The following is a 24,739-nucleotide window of genomic DNA, read 5'->3' on the forward strand; positions in this document are numbered from 1 at the left end:
GGAGTTTATGTCCTTTGAAATGACGTAGACTTTTGTGACTGCCTCAGTGAACAGATTATGACAGAACAATGCTTTGTAACTTCCCAGGTTCAGTCATGCAAAGCTAGACAGTTTCTGGCAGGTTCTCATTGAACACTCGCTTCTGAAAGACTGCTACTTGCTCCCTTTGAGGTCCCAGCCCTGGTCAACAGTCCCAGCTGAGCCTGTATTTAGCCATTTCAGCTCAGACTCCAGGCTTGTGAAGAAAGATGCCATCTTGTAGGTGGACCCTCCAGTCCAAGCTCATGTAAGACCCAATACCTGGTCTCAGACATCCAGAGCAGAGTAGAGGCAAGGACAACCATTCCCACCGGGCTTTTTGTCTAAATTTTTTACCCACAGGATTTCTGATCAAATAAGATTGTTGCTGTGTGGCCCTTCTAAGTGTGGGGTTCTTTGTTTCATGCTAACAGACAAGTGGAACAAGTCATGTAGGCAGAGTGCAAACTATAACGACCAGGCACACTGTGAAATGAGGTTGGAGAGATATCTGCTTTGGAACTTGCTGGTTTTGAGAACCATAATGAGGACTTCGGTCACTATCCCTAGGGAAATGGGAAGCTAGTGAGAGGTTTTGACCTAGGAAAAACAAAACCAGATTTGTGTTTTGAAAGATCATATGGGCTTCAGTGTGGACAATGCTGGATTGAAAAGGGCCTGGGCTAGGTTTGGAATCTAGCTTCAGATGTCATTGACTTGTCTAGGTGAGAGACAGTGGCATCTTGAACTAAGAGGGTGGAAGTGGACCTTGGTATAAGTGAAAAGAGTAGAGAGATCCTTAGAAGGTAAAGTTTCCTTGTGTTGACCATGGCTTGATGAAGAGGATGTGTCTCTGGGAGAGGTCTCCTTGGCTCCTAAGAGGAGAGTTATACTGCTTTTTGATGGTGATATCATTTATTCAGACAGAGGAGTGATGAAGACAAAGAATTTGGCTTTCGACATTTTAAATTAACCCTCGGCATTCAAAGTAGAGATAATGAGTAGGTATTTACATGTAAGGGTCTACAACTCAGAGGAAGAAGCTCAACTCGGTCCATCAGTTGAGAGTCATCAGCCTAGAAATGACCACAAAAGCCACAGATTTGAATGAATTGGCCTAGGGAAGAAGTTCAAAATAAAACTGTGGAGTTCAAGATGAAGAAACTCCAGCATTCAAAAGGCAGTAATGGAGGATAGGCTGAGAAGAAAAATCTTAGAGATGGAGGAGTGTTCCTGTGTTCTGGAAGCTTGGGAAAGATCATGAAGAGAATGAAGATCATTAACAGAATGAGCATGAAAGATCATGAAGATCACTAAGAGAATGGCCCAAGCAAGAACTCATCAAGACGGCAGATGTGAGCAGAAGGCAGATAAGTAGGAGAAAAAACAAATGTTGGGAACTGTAGGGAAAAAAAAGAGACTTTTTCTAGGAGCTGTCTGCAAAAAGGGATGCTCAAGATAAGGTGCTCATTAATGAGGAGTTGAGAACAATGATTTTTTTATCTCTAAAAATGGGAAGATCATGCGTAAGTTATCTAAAATCATTGTGAAAGATCTCATTAAATGTGCTGGAGACAGACAAGGAATAATTGAGATTTTAAGATTCTTGATCAAGCAGGGAAGTCTGTCTTAGAATAAGGGGTGAGGGATAACCTCAAATGAGAGAGGGGACTGCCTGCTTGAAGTTACCGGGACAGAAGAAGAGGATGTAGGTTAGTTGAAGGTGTGATATTCACAAGAAGTTGAGGGAATTCTCATCCTATTGTTTCAAATTTCTCTAAGAAATAAAAAGTTTTGTCATCTCCTATGTGTCGTGGGAGTGATTGCAGAGATTTGAGAGAAGTGCTAAGGGTTTAAAATATCTGTTTTGAAAATGGGAGGGACCTTGATGGAACAAGAAAAGCCAGGAGGGCTTCCGGTGGTGGTGATCCTGTCTTTGAGGCTGAACATTAATGCATTCTGCCTTGCTCGGTTATCTCTTTCAGCAGCACTTGCTCCTTGAATGAAGATGAATGAGTCAGAGAGTTCATTTGGAATTTGAGTTTACCAAGATATGAAAGGCAAAGGGTAAGGGATTTCAGGGTCCTGGCAAAAATATTCCTGCAGCAATCTAGACTGTGCTAGGAGGAAACATGGGTAGTTAATGGGTTAGGGGAAATTCCAGGGCTTTAGCTGACATTATTGAACTGCTGGGTTTAGTTGACATTATTGAACTGCTGAGTCAATGTTGCTCCAAGACACCAACATTGACCGAGAATCTATGACCTATGCAGCTCAGTTACATGCTTTAGTACCTCATAGTGGTTATGAGATTAGACTCTTGCATCACACTGTCTAGAGCTAAATCTCAGTTTCTCCACCAAAGAGACAGTGAGCTTGGGCACATCACTCAACCTTGCAGGGAAGCTACTCTCCCTCTTTAAGACCGAGATGGTGGTTATTGCAGAACCTACATCATGAGCTTGTCATACATGAGTTAATATGCACAAAGTACTTCAACAATGCAGACACATATAAACAATGCATATTTAATAGCATTGCTTTCGATGCTTACCCAAAACCTTGAGGCAGCTATTATTGCTTCTATTTCATACTTGAAAGAAACTGAGGCTCAGGGAAGGTTAGGAGTTTGCCCCAGATCCCAAATAACTAAGGTATAAGATCTGCTTAGCCACAATAATGCTTAAAGCTCATATAGTGCTAAGCTTGTTTAACATTTATTGTCCTTAGTGGCTGGAAGAATTGGGATCTAGAGAGAGCTGGTTTAACTTCTTCTTTTTTTTTCTTTTTTTTTTTTTTGGCTAGTGTCTTCGTTTTATTTCCAAAAAAGCAACAGCAACAGTCCTTAGAAGAAAAGTGAAAAAGTGACTAAGGCTGGTGAGCATTGATTTGTCCCATGCAATGAATATCTGGGAAATAACTCTGGGTGGCCCTGAAGTGTGACCCAGGCCACTCATTACTTAAGCGTTCTTCTAATGCTTTTCCTCTCTGATGTAAACTTTTAAAGAAAGAACTTTATTTTTCCATACGTTATTGGGGTATAGGTGGTATTTTGTTACATGAGTAAGTTCTTTAGTGGAGATTTGTGAGAACCTGATGCACCCATCACCTGAGCAGTATACACTGCACCATATTTGTTGTCTTTTATCCCTTGCCCCTTTCCCACTATTCCCCCCAAGTCCCCAAAGTCCATTGTTATCATTCTCACCCTTTTGCATCCTCATAGCTTAGCTCCCATATATCAGTGAGAACATACAATGTTTGGCTTTCAATTCCTAAGTTACTTAACTTAGAATAATAGTCTCTAATCTCACCCAGGTCATCGCAAAAATGCTGTTAATTCATTCTGTTTTTATGGCTGAATAGTATTCAATCATATGCGTGAATATATATATATGCACACATGTATATGTCAGAGTTTCTTTATCCACTCATTGATTGATGGGCATTTGGGTTGGTTCCAAAATTTTGCTATTGTGAATTGTGCTGCTATAAACATGTGTGTGCAAGTATCTTTTTAGAATAATGACTTCTTTTTCTCTGGGTAGATACCCAGTAGTGGGATTGCTGGATCAAATGATATGCACCTTGCACTATTCCAAGATGCCTCCTGGAAAGTGTCTTGGACCATTTTCCCACCTGCACCATGTGGGTTATTTACTAGGTACATCTACTTCACAGGTGTGTTATAAATATGATATGGAACATGAAAGTTCAACTGTAGAGCAGTCTCTGTTCTCTGACTTTCTCCCTTACTTTCTTGTTACTTCTCATTTCCTTCCATTTCCAAAGGTACGATAGACTAGAGTATTCCCCAGCCCATGGACACAATTGCTTTACTCCTGAAGGGCCTAAGAGGGCTGTAAATGAAATTGGGATTCCAACAAAACAGATTCCATCTACTGGCAGCATCTTTGGTCCCTTAACAAGCCTCAAACACAGACAGTAGATCTTCTACCTCTTTGTCATCAAGATAAAGCCAATTAGGGGTATAAAAACACAAAGTAATACAAATAATAGACTCTTTATCAAGAGATTTGGGATTGGACCAATCTTGGACATATAGCATAACTATATCAACTGTAACTGTCACGGTAGCAATATCTCTTACAGACTCAGAGGCCAGTTCCAATTGGTTTACAAAGAGGGTGGAGAGAGGAACTATACAGAGTAGGGGTAGAGAAGTTATGCATCCACCAAAGACAGCTTTCCCATTTCTTTCTTCTCACATCCATGCCATGTGGCTATTTGATGACAGAACTTTTTATCTATGGTATCTCCCCTCTCTGATGCCTTCCCACAAATATGGCAGGGCTGGGACCTTACCTGTTGGAGACAGAGTACTTGATCTGGGCATGCTATGTTTGTAACCCTATCTGGGTCCAGAGAAGTCCCCCTGTGGAATGTATTATTGAACGCATAAGTTAAATTACTGCCAGGGGCTCCGGTCACTCACAGACAAATCCCCAACACTTTAGTGTGGCCTTTTCCATAGAAAGGAGAGATAAATAATGATTAAAAAGGAAAAGTCAAAAAATAGTAACATGAGCATATCATTTAAAAATATGAAGAAATAAACAAATAAATGAGATACAAGTGATAGGCTCTGAGAAGCAGGATTTGGAAGAGAACAGGATTAGGGTGGGAGATTACACACTATTTGACTCATTAAACTACATACATAGACTATTTTGATAAGAATTAAAAAGTTAAAAATATTATTTCAATGTTTCTATTCTGTGAGATAGGGAAGGCGATAATAAAGACTTTTGATAACTGTCAATCTTTAAGAAAAGCGAAAAGCAATCTTTCAATTAGTACTTTGATGTAGCGTGTGTTTCTGAGTTATTACTTATATTTTTATTTCATCAGAAATATTCTATAATTAGAAAGAAAATAAGAGAGAGATGATAATCCAATATATACAGTAAAAGAATATTTACAAAATTATGAGACTACCAAGGTCCAAGAGCAGTCTAACCATAATGCCATTTAAAATTCGCATATTTGTAAAAGCTTTTTTAATGTCTATTACTTTACCTGAAGTAATAGGTAGGGGATTAGAGCTTGCTATATACATCTTAGTGATAAAGATGCTAGGTTTATATACATTGGTTTTCCCATGGTTTAATAGTCTCAACCAGGTGGAGCCTAATCTAGAATACAGGTAGTTTCTCTCTTCCCTCTTTTTGCAATGCTTTGTCCAGGATCCTGGAAAAGCTAAGTTATGCTGCAATAACAAATAGCCCCCACAGCTCCATGAATTCAAGCAACAAGTATGTGTTTACAGTGCCTGCTACGTGTCCATCCTATATCACTAGAGACTGTTTCATATAGTAGTGGTTCTACCCATCCAGATAGACTGAATCACCATTATTTGGAACATTGCCAGGCATCACCCCAGGGTGAGAAAAATCTCTGAAGCCTGTTACCTGGAAGTGTACCCAAAACATCTGCTCAAACTCATTGAAAACTATGAGACTTCATATGCCCACAAAGGAAAGATAGGAATGTTTAAAGAAAAGGTCTAATGACTACCAAGCCTTCATGTTCACGGGTGATTGAAACCACTCCTCCTTAATAGTAAGACAATTTTTCGCCACAGTTAGCTAGGACAAACTTTTTTCTCATGGCCTGCACCTCATCATCCCTCCAACAATAATAACTACTGGGGCAGCAGAGGGAGAGGGGTTGGGAATTGAGGAGAAATAATTCAAATGATGCATGTTGGAGGGCACCATGTACAATATAATTCAGTTGTGCTAGTATCACTTTGTTTGCTGCACCAAGTTGTGAATGAGATAGTCCTTTCCTAGAGATCCTACCCCAAGTTGGTATAATGACCTGAGCAAGTATTTTTAAGGTAAATAATGACAATAATGATGATAAGTGTGAAAAGTGGTTTATTTCATTTTTCCTAAAGTCAATGTCGATGAGAAGGAAGAAGAGGTTTCCACATAAGCAAAAAATTAGAGGAAGCGAGGTGAGGTACTCAGGGCTGGAATGCAGAGACTTGAGGACATGGTCATTTCTCTTTTGATTGAAGATGAGGCAGGAAATGGGGGTGAGAGTGTTTATACTGCTTCCTCGTAACAGTAAAGAAAGATAAAAATAAATATATATACATGCATTACTGGAAGCGGTGAGCAGAATACTCTAATGAAGACAAACTGATTGCCCATGAAGAATAAGAGTCCTCTTATGTTTGCATTTATTTTCTACTAAAATAGACTGGATTTTGATCATCTAGAAAGGCATAGAGCAGGCAGAATTATGTGTAAAAACTGCCTGCATTTAGGAACTTGATTAATGGATCTCTAAGTCTTAAAAACAAAACCCTAAGGTCTTGTAGTGTTGAGAAGAGGAGTTTTAAGTCATAGTGACTCAGATGCCTCTATCTCTCCTTCCTGTACATCTCTGTTTAGTGGGTGGTTTTGAAACATAAAGTAGTCAGTATATGAAAGACATCTGATATATCTTCTTGCTTGTCAAACGTCAAAACACAGCAGTAAGTTATTCCGTTTTTCTTTGTTCTCCTAAAGTAACTTGGTCTGAGTCACACATTCAAGGAAAATCACTACTTGCTCTGGCTTTGTCCAGGACAAGCCCTTATTAGTAAATTGAAACTCAATCCAAGACCATCAAAGTGGTACTTCAATGAGTCTGCAAGAACCACCATGTTACTAGGTTTGAGATGCCAGATCTCAATAATCAGTAATGCAGATACAGCTTAGATCACAATGCCTAAGTCCTTTTAAATACGTGGAAAGCCTTCCCAAGAAGGATGGGTACAAACAAGCCCAGACTGCAAAGACTACAATAAATAGCCAACTTTTCAATGCCCAGATACAGACAAACACCCACAAGTATCAAAACCATCCATGAAAACATAATATCACCAAATGAACCAAATAAGTCACTAGGGACCAATCCTGGAAAAACAGAGATATGTTAATTTTCAGACAGAGCATTCAAAATAGCTGTGTTGAGGAAACTCAAAGAAATTCAACATAATTCAGAGAAGGAATTGGAAATTTTACCAGTTAAATTCAACAAAGAGGTTGAAATAATTTAAAAGAATCAAGCAAGAATCAAGAATTTCTCCAAGCAGAAATTCTGGAGTTGAAAAAATGCATTTGACATATGGAAAAAGTGTCAGTCTTTTAACAGCAGAATTGATCAAGCAGAAGAAAGAATTGGTGAACTTGAAGACAGATTATTTGAAAATATACAATCAGAGAAGACAAAAGAGAAAATAATAAAAAAGTGAAGTATGCCTACAGGATCTAGAAAATAGCCTCAAAAAGGCAAATCTTAAAGTTCTGGGCCTTAAAGAGGTGATAGAGAAAGAGATAGCAGTAGAAAGTTTATTCAAAAGGATAATAACAGATAACTTCCCAAACCTAGAGAAAGATATCAATATTCAAGTGCAAGAAGGTTACAAAACACCAAGCAGCTTTAACCCAAAGAAGATTACCTCAAGACATTTAATAATCAAATTTCTAAAGGTCAATGATAAAAAAGGATCATAAAAACAGCAAGAGAAAAGAAACAAACTTGCAAGTATGGCTTAACGTATGCAAATCAATCAATGCGTTACACCATATCAACAAAACAAAGAATAGAACTATGTAATCATTCAATTCCTGCTGAAATAGTATTTGGTATAATTAGTATCCTTCATGATAAATACCCTCAAAAAACTAGGTATAGAAGAAACATACCTCAACATAATAAAAGGCATATATAACAGACCCACAGTTAGTATCACACTGAATGGGGGGAAATTGAAAGCCTTTTCTCTAAGATCTAGAACATGACAAAGATGCCCACTTTCACCACTGTTATTCAACATAGTAATGGAAGTCCCAGCTAGAGCAATCAGAAAAGAGAAAGAAATAAAGGGCATCAAAATGGAAAAAGAAGTCAAATTTTCCTTGTTTGCATATAATATGATTTTATATTTGGAAAATCCTAAATGCTCCACCAAAAAAAAAAAAAAAAATGATAAATCCTGTGAAGTTGCAGTATACAAAATTAACATAAAAAAGCAGTAACTTTTTTATATGCCAACAGCCAACAACCTGGAAACAAAATAAAGGAAGTAATTCTATTTACAGTAGCTACAAGTAAAATAAAATACCTAGGAATTAACTGAAGAGGTGAAAAATGTTGATAAGGTTTGGCCGTGTCCCCACCCAAATCTCATCTTAAATTGTAGTTTCCATAACCCCACATGTGGTGGGAGGGACCCAGTAGCAGGTAACCGAATCATGGGGGTGGTTTCCTTCATGTTATTCCCATGATAGTGAGTAAGCTATCATGATGTCTGATGGTTTAATAAGGGGCTTCCCCTTCCACTCTCCTCTCATAGCTCTCTCTCTCTGCTGCCTTGTGAAGAAGAATGTGTTTGCTTCCCCCTCTGCCATGGTTGTAAGTTTCCTAAGGCCCTCCCAGCCGTACACAACTGTGCATGTGGTACATATACACAATGGAGTACTATTCAGCCATAAAAAGAATAAAATTCTGTCATCTGCAAGAACATGGATGAAGATGGATGTCTCTATGTTAAGTTAATAAGCCATGCACAGAAAGATAAATATCACATATTCTTATTTATCCATAGGGACTAAACATTAAAACAATTGAACTCATGGAGATAGAGGGTAAAAGGAAGATTACCAAAGGCTGGGAAGGGTAGTGGTTGGGGTAAGGAGGAATGGTTAATGAGTAAAAAAAAAATAGAAAGAATAAACAAGACCTAGTATTTGTTAGCACAACAGGGTGACTATAGTAAAAGATAATTATTCATTTTAAAATAACTAAGAATATAACAGGATGTGTTTGTAACACAAAAGATAAATGCTTGAGGTGATGAATATCCTATTTCCCATGATGTGATTTTCAAACATTGCAAATATCTCATGTAACCCATAAATATATATATCTACTATGCACCCACAAAAATTAAAAATTAAAAAAAGGAACTCAAATAAGATGGAAAATACGCTTCTTATCTTCCTAGAAGATGAGGTTTCTCTCTTCTGAGTACTCATATTAGTTTTATAGGACGGTTGTAACAAATTATCACAAACTGGGTGGCTTAAAACAACAGAAATTCATTCTCTAATAGTTTTGGAGACCAGAAGTCCAAAATCAAGACTTCAATAAGGTCATATTCCCTCCAAAATCTCTAGGAAATAATCCTTCCTTGCCTCTTCCAGATTCCTGCATCTCCAAACATTTCTTGACTTCAGAAAGCATCACTATACTCTGCTTCTGGCTTCACGTGGCCATCTCTCTGCTTTGGTGTGTCTCAAATCTCCCTCTGCCTTTGTCTTATAAGGATACCTATTATTGACTTTAGGGCCCACCCTAAATACAGGATGTTCTCATCTCAAAATTCTTGATTACTTCTACAAGGACCCCATTTCAAAACAAGGTCAAATTCACAAGTTCTTTTTGGGGGCCACTATTCAACCCATTATAGTACACATTTAGGAATTGTCAGGCAGCATAGATGACTGGACTTCTTCAATGGGGTATTGCTCTTCTGGGAGGTATATATGACATTTAGGAAAGGGGAAAATTTCTTCAAGTCTTCCTCACTCACCCAATTAGGATGACTTAGATTTGTAAAATCTCAATCCATTTCTAAGACAGTACCAAGTGGCCTCTGGAACTTGGGAGAAAATTATTCCTTATCACTAGCCAGGCTCTCAGGATTCAGTTGTTCCAGTTTTTGATTAAAAAAAAAAAAGTCTTTCCTGAGCACCCATTATGCATCCTGGGCTAGAAACTGGGTTGACAAGGAGGTGGATGGGACAAGGCATTGGTCACTTTCTCCCAGCCATAAGCCCTCCTTTGGAGACCTGCTCTCTTCTGCCTTCTAGGGAAAAGTGAATTTAAGCAACACAGGTTTTGTCTCCCTGGCCTCAGCTGATTGGATCAGGAATGGATATCTGGCCATGTATCAGCCCCACAGTGAATTAGGAGATGAAGCCCCTGTTTTCTTGTTCACTGTGGAGCAGTCTTATTCACGATGTGCCCAGTGACAACTTGCAAAAAGGATGAGGCAGGTGCTTAAAGGGAAGAGATGCCACATATCTCCAAGGAAAACAAGCCTTCTCACTGCCTAGAACGCCCCATGATCTTTTTTGCAGTTAAGTTCCAAATGTCCTCAGGTTTCTGTCCTCTGCAGCCAGCTGATCTCTGGCTATGCCCTCAGTGAGGGAAAGGGACAGACCTCTGGCACAGCTAGGCAAATGGTGCAGTACTTGGTTTAATAAGGATGTGAGCAAAGTGCTACAGAAGTTGGGAAGAGGGTGGCAGACTGGCTCTGTAAGCAAAGAAAGTGTTGCCAAATAGGCAATACCCATTTGGAAAAATGAGTAGAAATTTTGGAGGCTGAATTTTATTAATTAGTGTGCTCATGAAGTAGTTCACACCTTGAATTCACATCTGGGCAATACCTGAGACCACTTCAGACCAGTTGAATAGAAGTTGTAAATTCCACATGTGTAGCTTTTTAATCCCCCCAGGTGATTCTGATGTACAGAGAAGGCTGAGAATCACTGACTTAATGAGTTACATAATAAACCCACTTCCTTCTAGAGCAGTTGCATCCTCAATTCTCTTTAGACTAATAGCTACAGTGTCATCATCCTGAAGCCAACCATGTGCCACGCAACTACATTCACAGCCCCCTAGTGCCCCACTGTGTGAAACATGCAGCAGGTGCTAAAGAAATATGTTTAGCTTTTACGCAGCACTAGCAGACATAGGCTTCTGATACTCATTGGGCTGCATCACTTGTTTTTGTCAACAGCTTCCTCTCCTTCATTGATGACATCAATGACTCCTAAAAATCATCCTGTACTTTATGTTTGCATCTGCCTATCTTCTGCCACTACATTAGTTCAGGCCTCTCACATGACATTTTTATTACGGATCTCTCTGCATCCAATGAGTCATTTTGTTATCATCATAATCATGATCATCATATACTCACATACCTCAAACAGATGCATGCACCCCACTATCTATCCATTATCTAGCCACCGAGTCATCCATCATCCACTTATCCATCCATCACCCAACCATTCACCCACTCACTTATCCATTCATCCATCCATTCCTCCACACACTCATCCATCCACCTGTTCATTCATTCATCCATCCCTCCATACACTCAACTACTCACCTGTCCATTTATTCATCCCTGTCTCCACACACTCTACCATACAACCCATCCCTTCATGGGTAGAGTGAGGGTTCAATTTAGAGGTAGAGATGAGGAGATGGAGGCTGGATTTAGGGAGGATGTGAAAGCACTCCAGCAGAGTTAATACCTAGTGGACATGTGAATGGTCAAGACAAGTGTGTCCACCTAAGAGTGGCTTCATAGTCACCCCTGGCAGAGGGAACAGACTGATCATCTGCCTGAGGAAGTGAAACAGAATGATCCATGCAGAGAACTTCCCAGGGGACCCATGCAGGCTTGGGTGTTGGGAGAGGGGGAGAGATGGTGTGCTGAGGGTCAGGAGGGAGGACCTTAGAACCTGGAATAAAGTGTTCAATTTATATGGAAGACTATGGAGATCGCAGGAGGATTTTATGCAGGGATGGGAGTGACATGAAGTGCATATCTCCAACCATGGAGAAGTCCCTCTCATCTTTTCCAGTTTCTGTGCATGGCCCTTGGCTTGTTTAGGAAGTTGGCTCTGGGTAGATGTGCCAACACAAAATTAGGGAGTACTAGAAACCACTCTCTCAAGGAATAAATAACTCCAAAAGTGTGAGCAGTCAGTTTAGAAAACCTCACCCTGCTGCCATCATTCCTGCCTTACAACCAGTTCCTGCCTTTCCCCACTATAACTAAGAAGGACTTTAGACAGATTTTATGCTGAAGATTCAACACTTGGCTTGGGCTCTCCTTCCTCCACTCTCTCTCTTTCGCCTGCCCTCCCTCCTCTCACCCAGCAAGACAGGGCCTGGGCATTCTCCCTGACCAGTTACTGGGAGGGACACTGAGAAGAACAGCAGCCCACCACCCTTCAAGGGCAGCAGGCAGCATATGAGAAGGTCCAGAGGTGCAAGAGAGCCTGGTCCACTGAGGTTTGAGCTGAAGCCTTTTCTCCTAGGGGTCTGGTGGCAGGGTTAGAGGGAATGAGGTAGGAGAGGCCCCTGGAGGGTAAAAGGACACTGGAGTTTCAACTTTATTCTGAAGAGGAAGAAGAGAGAAGAAAAGAACAATAAAGTATTTTAAACTTATAAGGGAGATATTAAATTTATATTTTTAAATTTTTAATCACAGATATAAAAATTACTGGAGATGGAAAAGTATATGTATATATAGATGTGAATATGTACATCATATATATGATAGCTAAATATAAATAATGGATAGATAATGGATGGATGGATAGATAAATACACAGATACAGCGATAATTGATGAATGGATGGACAGATGGATGGATGGGTGAGATAATGAGTGAATGGATGGATAGATGATAGATAATGGATGGATAGATGATAGATAGATACATACATAGATAGATAATGGATGTATAGATGATAGATAGAAACACAGATATATACATATTGAATGAATGATTGGACAGATGAGTGGATAGGTAAGGTAGATAGATAGATAGATAGATAGATAGATAGATAGATAGAGAGATAGATAGATAAAATTTTGGAATTCATCAAGTCTTCCTAACATAAGAACTTGAATTTATGAAGTCTATTCACAAGAACTAGAAACCAGAGAGAAAATGTTGGCATATTTGTTTGTTTATTTTGTTTTTTGTTTGTTTGTTTGTTCTTGAGATTAGATGGAGTCTTGCTCTGTCACCCAGGCTGGAGTGCAGTGACACAATCTCAGCTCACTGCAACCTCTACCTCCAGGTTCAAGCAATTCTCCTGCCTCAACCTCCTGAATAGCTAGGATTACAGGCAACCATGACCATGCCCAGCTAATTTTTGTATTTTTCATAGAGATGGGGTTTTGCCATGTTGGCCAGGCTAGTCTCAAACTCTTGACCTCAGGTGATCCTCCCGCCTTGGCCTCCCAAAGTACTGGGATTACAGGTGTGAGCCCCTGTGGCCAACTGGTGTATTTTAATATATAAAATTATACATATTTTATGTCAGAAGATACAATGCAAAAAGTTAGAAGACAACAGATTGAGAGACCATATTTGCCACTTTTGCACAAAAATTATTAACAATTTTAAAAGCAGCTCAATAGGAAAATTAGTCAATTCATAGAAAGATGAAATATTAATTCACTGCAAATAGCCACTAGTAGTCAGAGAAATGCAAATAAAAGCAATAAGGTGGCATTGTTCAACCATCATAATGTTTTTCTTTAAAAAATTGATGATGGTTCTAAGCTGAGAAGCTGGAAGAACGTCTGCTCTTTCACAGACAGCTACTCAGAGTGTTTCATAAACTGATACAGTCTTTTTAGTGAGCAATTTGGCAATTACTTTTCAATTGTTTTTTTTTCTTTTTTCCTTTCCTTTCCTTTATTTATTAATTAATTTATTTATTTACTTTTGACACAGAATCTCACTCTGTCGCCCAGGCTGGAGTGCAGTGGTATGATCTCAGCTCACTGCAACCTCTGCCTCCCAGGTTCAAGCAATTCTCCTGTCTCAGCCTCCCGAGTAGCTGGGACTACAGGCGTGCACCATCATGCCCAGCTCATTTTTGTATTGTTAGTAGAAATGGGGTTTCACCATGTTGCCCAGGCTTGTCTCAAACTCATGAGCTCAAGTGACCTGCCTGCCTCAGCCTCCCAAAGTGCTGGGATTACAGGCATGAGCCACTGCTCCTGGCCCTCAAAATGTTTTAAAAGTCCACACTGTTTGTCCCAATGATATGCACGCAGCAGTTTGTTTTTACTGCGTCATAACCTGTAATAGCAACAATGGCTCCAAAACTAATCCCCATGTCCTTCAATAGATTATGTGTGTGTGTGTGTGTGTGTGTGTGTATATATATATATATATATATATATATATATATATATATATCCCAAATCTTTGAACTCTAAATTAGCAAAGAGCTCTTGAGCATAAGTTATGGCAGTTATATGAACAGCTGTAGAATTATGTCATTGATAGATAAAAAGAATAAGCCCCAGAAATAGATGAATGCTCCCATTCATGTAAACAAACAAGTAAAAATTTGTCTGCATACAAAGTAGAAGATGGCCTGGGAGTCTTGCGGGAGTGGGCAAGCTTGTGTGAGGGTGCTATATTTTTTTTGGCAAAAAGGGAGTTTATATAATTGGCTTTATATTATTTATTTTTAGACATTTTACAATGAGAATGTGTCTATTATTTACTCATGTGATTTGAAAGAAAAACCAACTAACAAAATGTGGTGTAAGAAATAGATCACTCTGGTAGCAGTGCCCAGGATGGATTGAAGTGATCGGAAGGCCTGGAAAGGGGATCTTGCAGGGATCTGGGCAGCATGTGAAGACCTGTGAGCTGATCCACAATGGCCGTAGTTGAATTTGGGGAACAGGAGCTGAAGTCATGAAATGCTGAGAGGGTAGAATCCAGACCATTGGGTTATCCGACAGGGCAGGAACTTGTCAACAAAGATGCTCAGAATATATTGGGTAAGATACCAGGTGATGGTGGTGCCATTAACAATGATAAGTAATGCAGAATGTGGAAAAGCAATTGAATCCCGAGGAAGCATGCACTTGGTGTTATTTTATGTAGGGGTTATACTTAGGAAACTGCAAAGAACAACTGGGATCAAGGCTATAGGAGTTGGGTGAGCTGTAGACCAATTTTATTTGGCCTCTAACTTAGGTTTAATAAATGGACTTAAACCATCCCACTTTGGAGCCAAAATGGAGATTAATTGTCTCAGCTCCTGACCTGTGGACCCTGAACTTCTACAGCTTCTCAGGACAGCAAGCTCTTAACTGCCAATGTTTCAAAAATCTGAGAGGAAAATGTCTGTTTGTCTGGAATGAGGCTGCCCTCACTAACTACAGAGATTTTCTTTGCTTTTGCCTGGATTCATCCCACTTGTATTCCTCACCTGGTGAAGCTTAAAAGCTCTGATTGATAAAATGGAAAGACAAACCAACGACCAAACATCTATGGAAAACAACAGTCTACAAAGAATGTGCTTCACCCCATACCTTCGGGGTTGGATAATAGCGTGAGCCTCAGTACAGGGAACTTTTTCTTTTTCTTTTCATCGATTTAGGTGGTACAAAGTGCAGTTTTATTAGATGGATATATTGCATAGTGGTGAATTTTGGGCTTCTATTTTAGTGTAAATGTCATCTGAATCGAATAGACTTTACCCAACAGGAAATTTCAAGCTTGCTTTTGCAGGCTGGCCTGGCGACTTGTTGAGACTCAGTTTTCTCCCCTTCCTTTATGTTCATTTCCTCTTTCACAGTATAATGTATGATCAACCTCAATTTTGATATCAGCCCCCAGTCCATACCCCACTTTTAGTGTATAATTTTTTTCCTCTGGAAGGGGAGTTGATTGATGGTAGCAGAAAGGACACTGGAAAGAAAAATAAATTAAATTTATGCAAGTGGGGAGGGGGTTGCCTCATTAACAGAATAATTGAGCTGTTAGCTAATTTTACTTGTTATCCGCAGAAAAGGGCAAAAATCTTCTAAGCAATGACTCCTCTTCTTCCAAATGATTAAAAGAACAACAAAAAGATTTGTATCTTGGATGTATCTAGTAATTATATGCCTGACACTTTTTTTTTCTTTGTAAACATCATACAAGGCAGATGTATTTTTAAAATCCTGGCAATTTACACAACACTATGAAAGTGTCAGTTCTTCCTAATCAGAATTTTCTGCACTTCCCCCACTCTTATTAGCAGTAATTTCTGCTAATTGATAATTATTGCCTTTTTTTCTTAGTCAAATCTCGTTGTTAGTGTAACAACACTTCCTGCTTTGCTAAGATCAATATTTGTAACTATCACTGTAAATAATGCATAAAATTAATAATAAAAGTATGCTTGCTCAATACAGTGCAAACTTCATCTATTTTCATATCAGCTCCTTAATTTAGAGTTATTTTATTTTATTTTTTTTGCCACAGACTGGTAATAATAAGTAGCTCTTAAGCCCAAATAATGAAACTCTTCATATGTAAACGTCATTAGGACTTTGACTAAAGCCTGTTGACACAAACTAGGCTATCACTGGGCTCTGGAAGTCCCTCTGGAGAATAAATCTCACTCCCTTTTCAAGTCCCTTGCAATAAATCTTAATTGATTTATAAAAGAGAATTGTTCTTTACATCCTTGAACTGGACTGGACTGAGCCCTGAGTGATCACTCTTGGATTTCTGTAGCTAATTTCCAGGAAATTGATGATGTCTTTATGGCAGTAAAGGGCAAGGCCAGCCAGCTGCTGGGTCCTAGCCCAAAATGAGCCCTTATCAAGGACCACCGGCAAATGGCCCCGGAAAAGATTCAGAGAAGATAACATCATCATCCCATTCTCCCAGAATATGTCCTCCAACCCAAACCTACCACTCACCTCACCCCTATGCTTAATTAAGTCGAAAATACTCATTCTCTGTAAGACGAAGACCATGATCTTTAAAAATTATTTATGTATCTATTTATACATGATTCAAGAGTGTGAGAATACAGGAAGGTATTGCAGATAGAAGAAAGAAGAAGTCACAAAGCCAAAGCTTTCCCCTCATTTTAGAGACAGGGTAGTCCTTTGAGAAACACTTTCCATGTGACAGGATCCTTGTAAGAAATGATACTCACTCTTCGCTGTAATGGAGAGAGCAGGGGAACTGGGAGCACAGGTTCCTGTTTCTAAAGCTTTGTGCATTAGCTCTGAGACTGACCAAGACCATATTCTTTTGGGGCCTCGGTTTTCTCAATTGTAAAATGAAGAAATTCAGAGCATAAGAAGTCTCTAAGCCTCTTCCTATTCTTTTACTCCACTCTAAGTCAATGTCCATTGACTCCACTATTTATTTATTTGCTTGCTTTAAGGATGAAAGCAGACACAGCCAAAAGATTGATTTCATAAACTGCAAGGGGACAAAAAGAGGTTAAGAGCTCAGCCACTGGTCGGAGGCCACTGCAGGCCAAGGAAAGGTTCTACCCTCATAATAGAGAGCAAGCAGTGCTGGAGGTAAGCTCATGTGTCACCAGGTGTTAGCCAACATGGCCACTCTCGCTTTTTAAGTAGGAGTAAAAGTATCAAGAAAAAGGAAAGACTGTTCTCAGAATAGAGAAAAGATTGGCTTCCAAATAAAAAAAACAAACTAGAGTGACATGAAAAGTGACAGGTTTTCTGCATAGAAAAAGAAAGAAAAGAAGAGATTACCTCCCTGAAATCAAAATAACCCCACAACTAAGACAAGCAATGGGATGAGATGGCAATAGAAATGGGACAGACAACAAACCACCTGGAAGCAACGCAAAGCAGGATGACAAAGATCAAACTCACACTGGAGCCAGAAAAGGACTATGGAAGGCAGAAGAGGCACAATCAGCCCTGTAGAAAGTAAGCCACTGTTGAGGACTAGGAATTTTACATTCCTCATCAGAATGTAAAGGTAATGAAAAATGATATGGCAGATCACAGTCTTAGGATACAAAGATGAATTTTAGTCTATGGTCCATTCAGTGAGTATTTATTGATAACCTATCATATAGCAAGGACTGTTTTTGTATCTTAGCTATATAAGCGAACAACACAGACAAAAATTCATGAGCTCTTGGAGCTGACAGTCTAAGTCAGTAGTCCCCGACCTTTTTGACACCAATGACCAGTTTCATGGATGACAATTTTTCCACAGACAGCAGGTGGGGTGGTGGGGGATGGTTTCAGGATGAAAGTCTTCCACCTCAGATCATCAGGCATTAATTAGATTTTCATAAGGAGCAAGCATGCAACCTAGATCCTTTGAACCCTTGCATGTGCAGTTCACAAGAGGGTTTGTGCTCCTATGAGAATCTAATGCTCCTGACCTGACAGGAGGTGGAGCTCAGGCAGTAATGCTCACTTACCTGCCACTCACCTCCTGCTGTGCGGCCCAGTTCCCAACAGGCCATGGACTGGTTCCAATCTGTGGCCCAGGGATTGGGGACCTCTGCTTTAAGTGACAGGTCTCATTGAGTGCAAATATTATCAGGCAGAAATAATCAAAGGAACACCCATATTTTAGCTACCATGTTTCCATTCTTTATATGTAAGGTTCAGCCACCCATTCTTTGAGGTAGATTATGTTCATATATAACTCGGAGCCCTATGCCCAAAAAAGGGCACCAACTTGCCATAAATGGCCAAGCAGAAAAGGGAAGAGAAGAAACTCCCAACTTGTCACTGAACAAGCTGCTGTTTCTTAGTTTGCTGTCTTGATCTCTATTGAACTCTAGGCTCTGTGAGAGCTAAAACCTGTCCCAGTAACCACTGTGCAGGATATTTTCCTGAACCACATAGGAAACCAATAACTATTTGTGGAATGTTAAGTTAATGAACAAAACCTGAAGTTGTTCTACTGCAGTTTATGCTTTCAAACACTTAGCTATACTTATTTTACAACGGAACAAAAGGTTCCGATGTTTATGAAAGACCTGAGTATAGAAATTAAAGTTTAGTCTATGATTATGGAAAGCCAATAAAAATAAATTTAGGTCTAAAGATGTCCTGACAAAAGCATCAAAAGGATGTAAACAAAGACGGTGTATACCTGGTTAATAAATAATTTGCCTAAAAATAAATGCAGATCATGCTAACTGGGACTTTAGCTTTCCAACACTGAATGTTTTGATTGTTATATAAATACTTTCAAGAAAAACAGTTCTGATCTTTAACTGTAAAACTGGCAAGGCTTTACTCCATCTAGGGAGGCAATCAAAAGACATCATCATCTATTTAAACACTCAAAAAAGGGTGCCACGCACTCCCTCTTCTTGGAAAAAAAAAAAAAACTGATGAAGAAGAACCCAAGTTTCCTAAAAGATGAATTCAATTTAAATAATTCAAGAATGAAAAAAAAAAAAAAAAAAGAAAACATTGGTCACGAATGTGGACAAGACATGAGTCACAGTCCAGTTCCTGATCTTTTGAAATAAAGAGCTCTGCCTTGTCAAGGTTAAGTTTCAGTTCTGCCATGCACCATATTGGTGTCTAGGACAGGGGAAACTTCTGAGACCTTCATGGAGTGATTTGGCACCACGGACAGCGTGATCTCCATGACAGATGAGTCCTAGTCGTTTCTACTGTTCCCCACGGGGGTCAGGGTCTCTGACCCCTTGTTCATTTCTTCCCTTGTTGCTCTTTCCCTGAAGCACTCAGCTAATTTTGTGCTCCAGTGATCAAGATAGGCATGTGTCACTTTCTGCAGAAAAGAATAAAAGCTGATGAGTATTTGACATTCCCAGAAGCTGGCAACTAAATCTTGGCTCAGGTGACAGCCCACTAAGCACATGCTCTGAGTACATCTGCATTTAGACCTTGGGTATGTCCCACAAGATGCACATGTATGTTTCTTTCCATACTTTAATAGCAAGAATCTTTGCTTTGAAATCCAGTGAATTCATCTAAAATAAAAAGGAAAAAAAATGTTCTGAAAACATTTTAAGAGTCTTTCCAAGAAAGAATCCACATTTGAGAGCTTTGTCTTATTTAGGGACTCTACAGACAGACAAACTGTATGAGCTAAGATAAATAATTCATCGAATCAATACACCTACATAATGAATCGGCCTGGGCAAATTTCTAATACAGACAGACGGATCAACTGACATTTTTCTTGTTGTATTGTTGTGTATCAAAATTCTCTAACCACTCATTCACCTTGTAAATGTAAATTTGATGATTAACTGAAGCATATGATTTGGATTATCCAAAGACAAGAGCTATGGTCTCTAGACACCACAGGCCTCTGTTGAGGTCATTCCTGGATCCATTGCCTTCAAGATGCCAGGTGAGGTCACCTACGGTTAAGCCTAGCATCATCCATACCTGCAACCTCCCTTCACCTGCTAAGGAACAGACATATTAAACTGTACACACACCCCTTGCCTGAGGCACCATGTTCCTGGATGCCTTCAGATCTTTGTCTATATTTCCCTTTGTCTGAAATGTCACTCCTACCCTTCTATTATTTTGGGGAACTTCTGTCCAGTCTTCAAGATCTAGCCCTATTCTCCCATTCTATGGAGGAGGAAATGAAAACCAGAGAACCTCAGCTATTTGCCAGAGATCAGGTGGTGCTAGTGTCAGGACTTGGCTCTGTGGCTTTCAAATCTATGTCTGTGTCTGCCTATGGGTGGAGAAAGAGAGGCTGTGTACGCTGTTTGGATCACAATATTATTTATTTATGGTGTGTGGTTATGTATAAATTGTGTGGAACTTTATATTTTTCGAGTTTCTTAATATGGAAGCTGACATCACTGATTTTAAGCCTTTCTTCTTTTTTAATACAGGCATTTTTGTGCCAAAAACTCCCCTCAAAGAACTGTTAGCTCCATCCCACCCATTTTTTTTAATGCTGTGTTCTAATTTTCATTCAGTTCACAGTACCTTCTAATTCCTGTCTTTTATTTCTTCTGCTTGAAGTTCACTGGGATTCTTGGATCTTTAGAATATGGTTTTCATTAAATTTTAAAAATTACAGTCTTTAGTTCTTCAGGTATTTTTCTGCTTTGCCCTCCTTCAAAGACTCCAATTACATGTATTTTAGGCCATTTGAAGCTGTTCCACATGTTGCTGACCCTCTGTTCAATTTTTTCCTTAACCTGCTTTCTCTCTGTATTTCATTTTCAATAGTTCCTATTATTATATCTTCGAGTACATTAATCTTTTCTTCTGCAATGCCTAATTTGTTGTTAATCTTTAGCAATGCACTTTTCGTCTCAGACATTATAATTTTTATCTCTAGAAGTTTGATTTGGGTTTTTCTTTTTATATGTCCCATGTCTCAACATACTCATTTCTTGAGGTCATTAAACACATGAAATTCAGGGAAAAGTTTTAAGAATTGTTTTAATAGCCTTGTCTACTAATTCTATCAGTTATGTCATTTCTGAGTCAGTTTCAGTTGATTTATTTTTCTCCTCATTATGAGTCATATTTTCTTTCTCCTTTGAATGCCTGGTGATTTTTTATTAGATGTTGAAGACAGTGAATTTTACTTTGTTGAATGTTGGATATTTTATATTCTCATAAATATTATTAAGTGTTATTCTGGGATATAGTTATGTTACTTGGAAATAGTTTGATTCTTTTGGATCTTACTTTTAGTATTTATTAGACAAGACCAGAGCAACATTTAGACTTCATCCTACTGCTAAGATAAAGCACATCTGAGCGTTCTACCTGCTCTCCCATGAGTTATTAGGTTTTTGATTCTGGCTGGTGGGAACAGGAACTCTTCCCAGGCCTGTGGGAGCTCTGGGGATTACTTCCTTTGACTTTTTTTTTTTTTTTCTTTTTTGTGGTTCTTTCCCAGCGTTGGGCACATTCCACACATACATGTGCTGGTCAGCACTTAGTTAAAGAGTTGAAGGGAACCCAGAAATTCTCAAAATTTCTCCCAGCACCTCTCTCTGTTCTCTGATACCCTATCCTGTGAGCTCTAGTAACCTTAGCCTCCTAGCAATATCCCCTCAACTCAGGGAGACTACAAAGCCCTCTAAGCAATCAGCTTGGATAACTTGAGACTATGCTCAATTTGTTTTTCATCTCTCAGGGATCCCTGTTCTTCTTGAAAATGTCCCATTGTTTAAAATGATTCCTCAAGTATTTTTAAATTATTTTTATGCATTTTATTTTTGAGGCTACTTTTAGTTTCTTTTACTTCTCCTGGTCATAAACTAAAGTTGGGTTTAGGTTTCTATCATAACATGACTCATATAATTAGAATCTTTGAGAAGAATCTAGAGAAATATGTTTTGCTGAAAAAAAATGCTGATTTATTTATTTATTTTTTTTTTGAGATCACGGCCAATTTTATCCTTAGTTTAGGGAGCAGTTCTCTTTGAACCAACTCACTTTCTTCAATTGCCCTTTCTAAGAGTCTGATAAACTGGGTTCATGCCTTAGATTGCTTTTAACAAGCTATATTATATCAGACTAATGACCTGAACTCTCTTGCCTCAATATCTTTAAATCTGAAAAATGGGAATTTTATCGCCTACATAATGTACTAATAATTAGTAAATTAGAAACAAACAAACATATATACATATATGTGCAATGGCTTCCTCGTAGGAAATGTCTGGAAAACTATTGTCTAATTAAAGGCAATTGAAAGCTGTACACTTTAAAATGTTACGATTCATTCATTGTCCCAAAGCCAATAACAGCTTTTTTTAATCCATCTGCCTATTTGTTTATTTATTTATTCATCTTCATTTTCATCAAGAGAGACCTGTAAAATGTGTTCCTTTAACAAGGAACTCAGGCTGGGTTTGGTGTCTCAGCCTGTAATCCCAGCACTTTCGGAGGTAGAGGCAGGAGGATCACTTGAGCTCAGGAATTGGAGACCAGCCTGGGCAACATAGAAAAACTTTGCCTCTACAAAAAAAAAAAAAAAAAAAAAAATCAACTTGGCCAGGTGTGGAGTGATGTGTGCCTATGGTCCTATTATAGTCCCAGCTACTTGGGAGGCTGAGGCAGGAGGATCACTTAAACTCAGGAGATTGAGGCTGCGGTGAGCTATGACTGTGCGGCTGTACTCCAGCCTGGGCAACACAGCCAGATCCTATATTAAAAAAAAGAGATAGAGCTCAAATTTGGACTTTATTCTTTTACTTTCTCTAATAACAGCTATACTCTAAAAGATGCAGGAATAAAATATTTATTTGAAATTGAGTGTGTTTGCAGCAGTGTATTTCACATATATATGAGATTGAAGTTTCTCTTACAGGTAAAAATAAGTCCTCAATTAATTGCCTCAGCCCAGGAAGAGGGCATTTTCATTTGGGAACCTGCTGAGAGGTCTGCAGGAGACTCATGATATGCAGCGCCAGCAGCTCCCATAACTTCGCCTGGGTCTCACCAGGCCACGCACACAGAACTGCCCACACACCTCAGTCAAAAGAGCTCTCGCCATCTATCCCACTGGAGAGAGATCATTAAAAATGCAGCCAAGTGTAATGCTCTCACATTCTGCCATTCTGTGCTTTATGTAAAGGAAACTTCCCCTGTACTGGCATTGGTATTTAAGCTTCCAGAGGCTTCCAGCGGCTTCCAGATGATGCTTACAGTGGGCTCACTGACGTAATTTATTTCCCTCCATCTTAGATTGTCAACTCTATCATGACCTGCAACTGAAACCAGAGTGATTTCTCTATGTCCCTGGAATTATGGGAATAAGAAGAAGGAGGCGAAATTCTATTTTTTCTCATCTATGTTATTCAGAATAAAAATAAAATCATTCTTAATTGCCCACTGTAGTAGACATGCGCGGTGTCTGTTAAACTCACAACATCGTCTTAGCTTCTTTTCTTACTCACAGAAAGGGGCCCTGAGAATCCACACAATGGCACAGTGGGTTGGGCTAGATGTAAACAGGTGATATAAGATGGGCCAAATGAATTTGGAATTGAAATTTTATAAGCTATATTTCATAGTAGGTTAGCTCCCAGCAAACACAAAGTCTATGGGGGAGTCTTTAAAAATTCAGAGCTATGATTTCAGTGTCTTTCACCTCGTAGATACTGTATATAGTAAAGCAGATCTGCAGATAGAAAAGAAGAAGTTGGATTGAACTGAGAGAAGTTGAAATATGACATCTTTGTGCATTTCCTAGACTGTATAGATGCTGTCCCATGCCTTGTTCAAGGACTGGGTGTATTACCCCAGTGGAAGACATGACTGTGGGCTTCAACTAAATGCCCAGTTTTTATTTTATCCAATTTGTTTTGGTTTCTTCTGCTTGCAAACAAAGTGCTCTAACTCAATGGGGTGACATATAGTAAAAAAATTGCTGAGCTATACCTAAACAGACAGAAAAGGTGCCAAGAAATGAGGGAACACCTAACGTGATTCCTAACAACTTTGCTGAAAAACTTATTTAATCCTAAAAGGGTCTCATGGTAAGGATATTTAGTAGGTCCTTTTTACAGAAGGATAAACTGAGGCTCAGCTAATTCAAGTGATTTGGACAAGATGCTAAAGTCAGTAAGTTTTGGAATCAAAGTGTGAAGCCAGGTCAACTATATTGAAAGTATGAGGATGCCACACTAGTCCTTAAAGAATGACAAAGGTGGTATATGACATGTCACGTCTGAATTCCTTGACTACAGGTTGGTTTATTTACAGATCATAGGGACATACTTATCAAATTAACTGAAATAGAGCCTGAAATGTCATTCAAATGCAGTCAGATAGGGATACAGTCCAGCAAGGACAACCTATGTTCTCCATGTATAATAAGCAATTAAATGAGTTTCTTGTTAATTCAATCAGAGAGGGACAGAAATATTGAAATTCCTTGGATCAAGAAAAAAAAAGTTTTTAATGCAGTTGACCTTTGTCATTTTCATGTAAGAGAAACTGATGATGAGCCACTGAACTAGCAAATTAGCTCTTCAGAGATGTTGACAGGGTCAGTAAGAAATGAAACCCATCTTAACAAAGATGAGCTGGTTTCTTAGGTGTATGACCCAGTTTTGCAGGCTTTAGCCATGAAGAAGTTCAGAGGAACTTTGAAAACAGA

General features: G+C 39.0%; 2 long non-coding RNA genes across 4 annotated transcripts in view; one reads left to right on the top strand and one right to left on the bottom strand.

The window, feature by feature from the left end:
• The window catches only part of LOC105370655 (uncharacterized), a 102,277-nt gene that overhangs the window by 29,314 nt on the left and 48,224 nt on the right, over positions 1-24,739 (bottom strand). The window lies entirely within an intron of this gene.
• Positions 103-23,467, top strand: LOC105370653 (uncharacterized). Of its 3 annotated transcripts, none has more exons than XR_944188.3 (5): positions 103-286; positions 2,004-2,085; positions 2,824-2,895; positions 17,055-17,196; positions 23,323-23,467. It is a non-coding gene; the product is annotated as an uncharacterized LOC105370653 (long non-coding RNA). The 3 variants fall into 3 exon arrangements; XR_944189.3 differs by having other exon boundaries at positions 2,007-2,085; XR_944190.3 differs by lacking the exon at positions 17,055-17,196.

The sequence above is a fragment of the Homo sapiens genome, chromosome 14 (assembly GCF_000001405.40).
Source record: "Homo sapiens chromosome 14, GRCh38.p14 Primary Assembly".
In the NCBI taxonomy this organism is placed as follows: domain Eukaryota; kingdom Metazoa; phylum Chordata; class Mammalia; order Primates; family Hominidae; genus Homo; species Homo sapiens.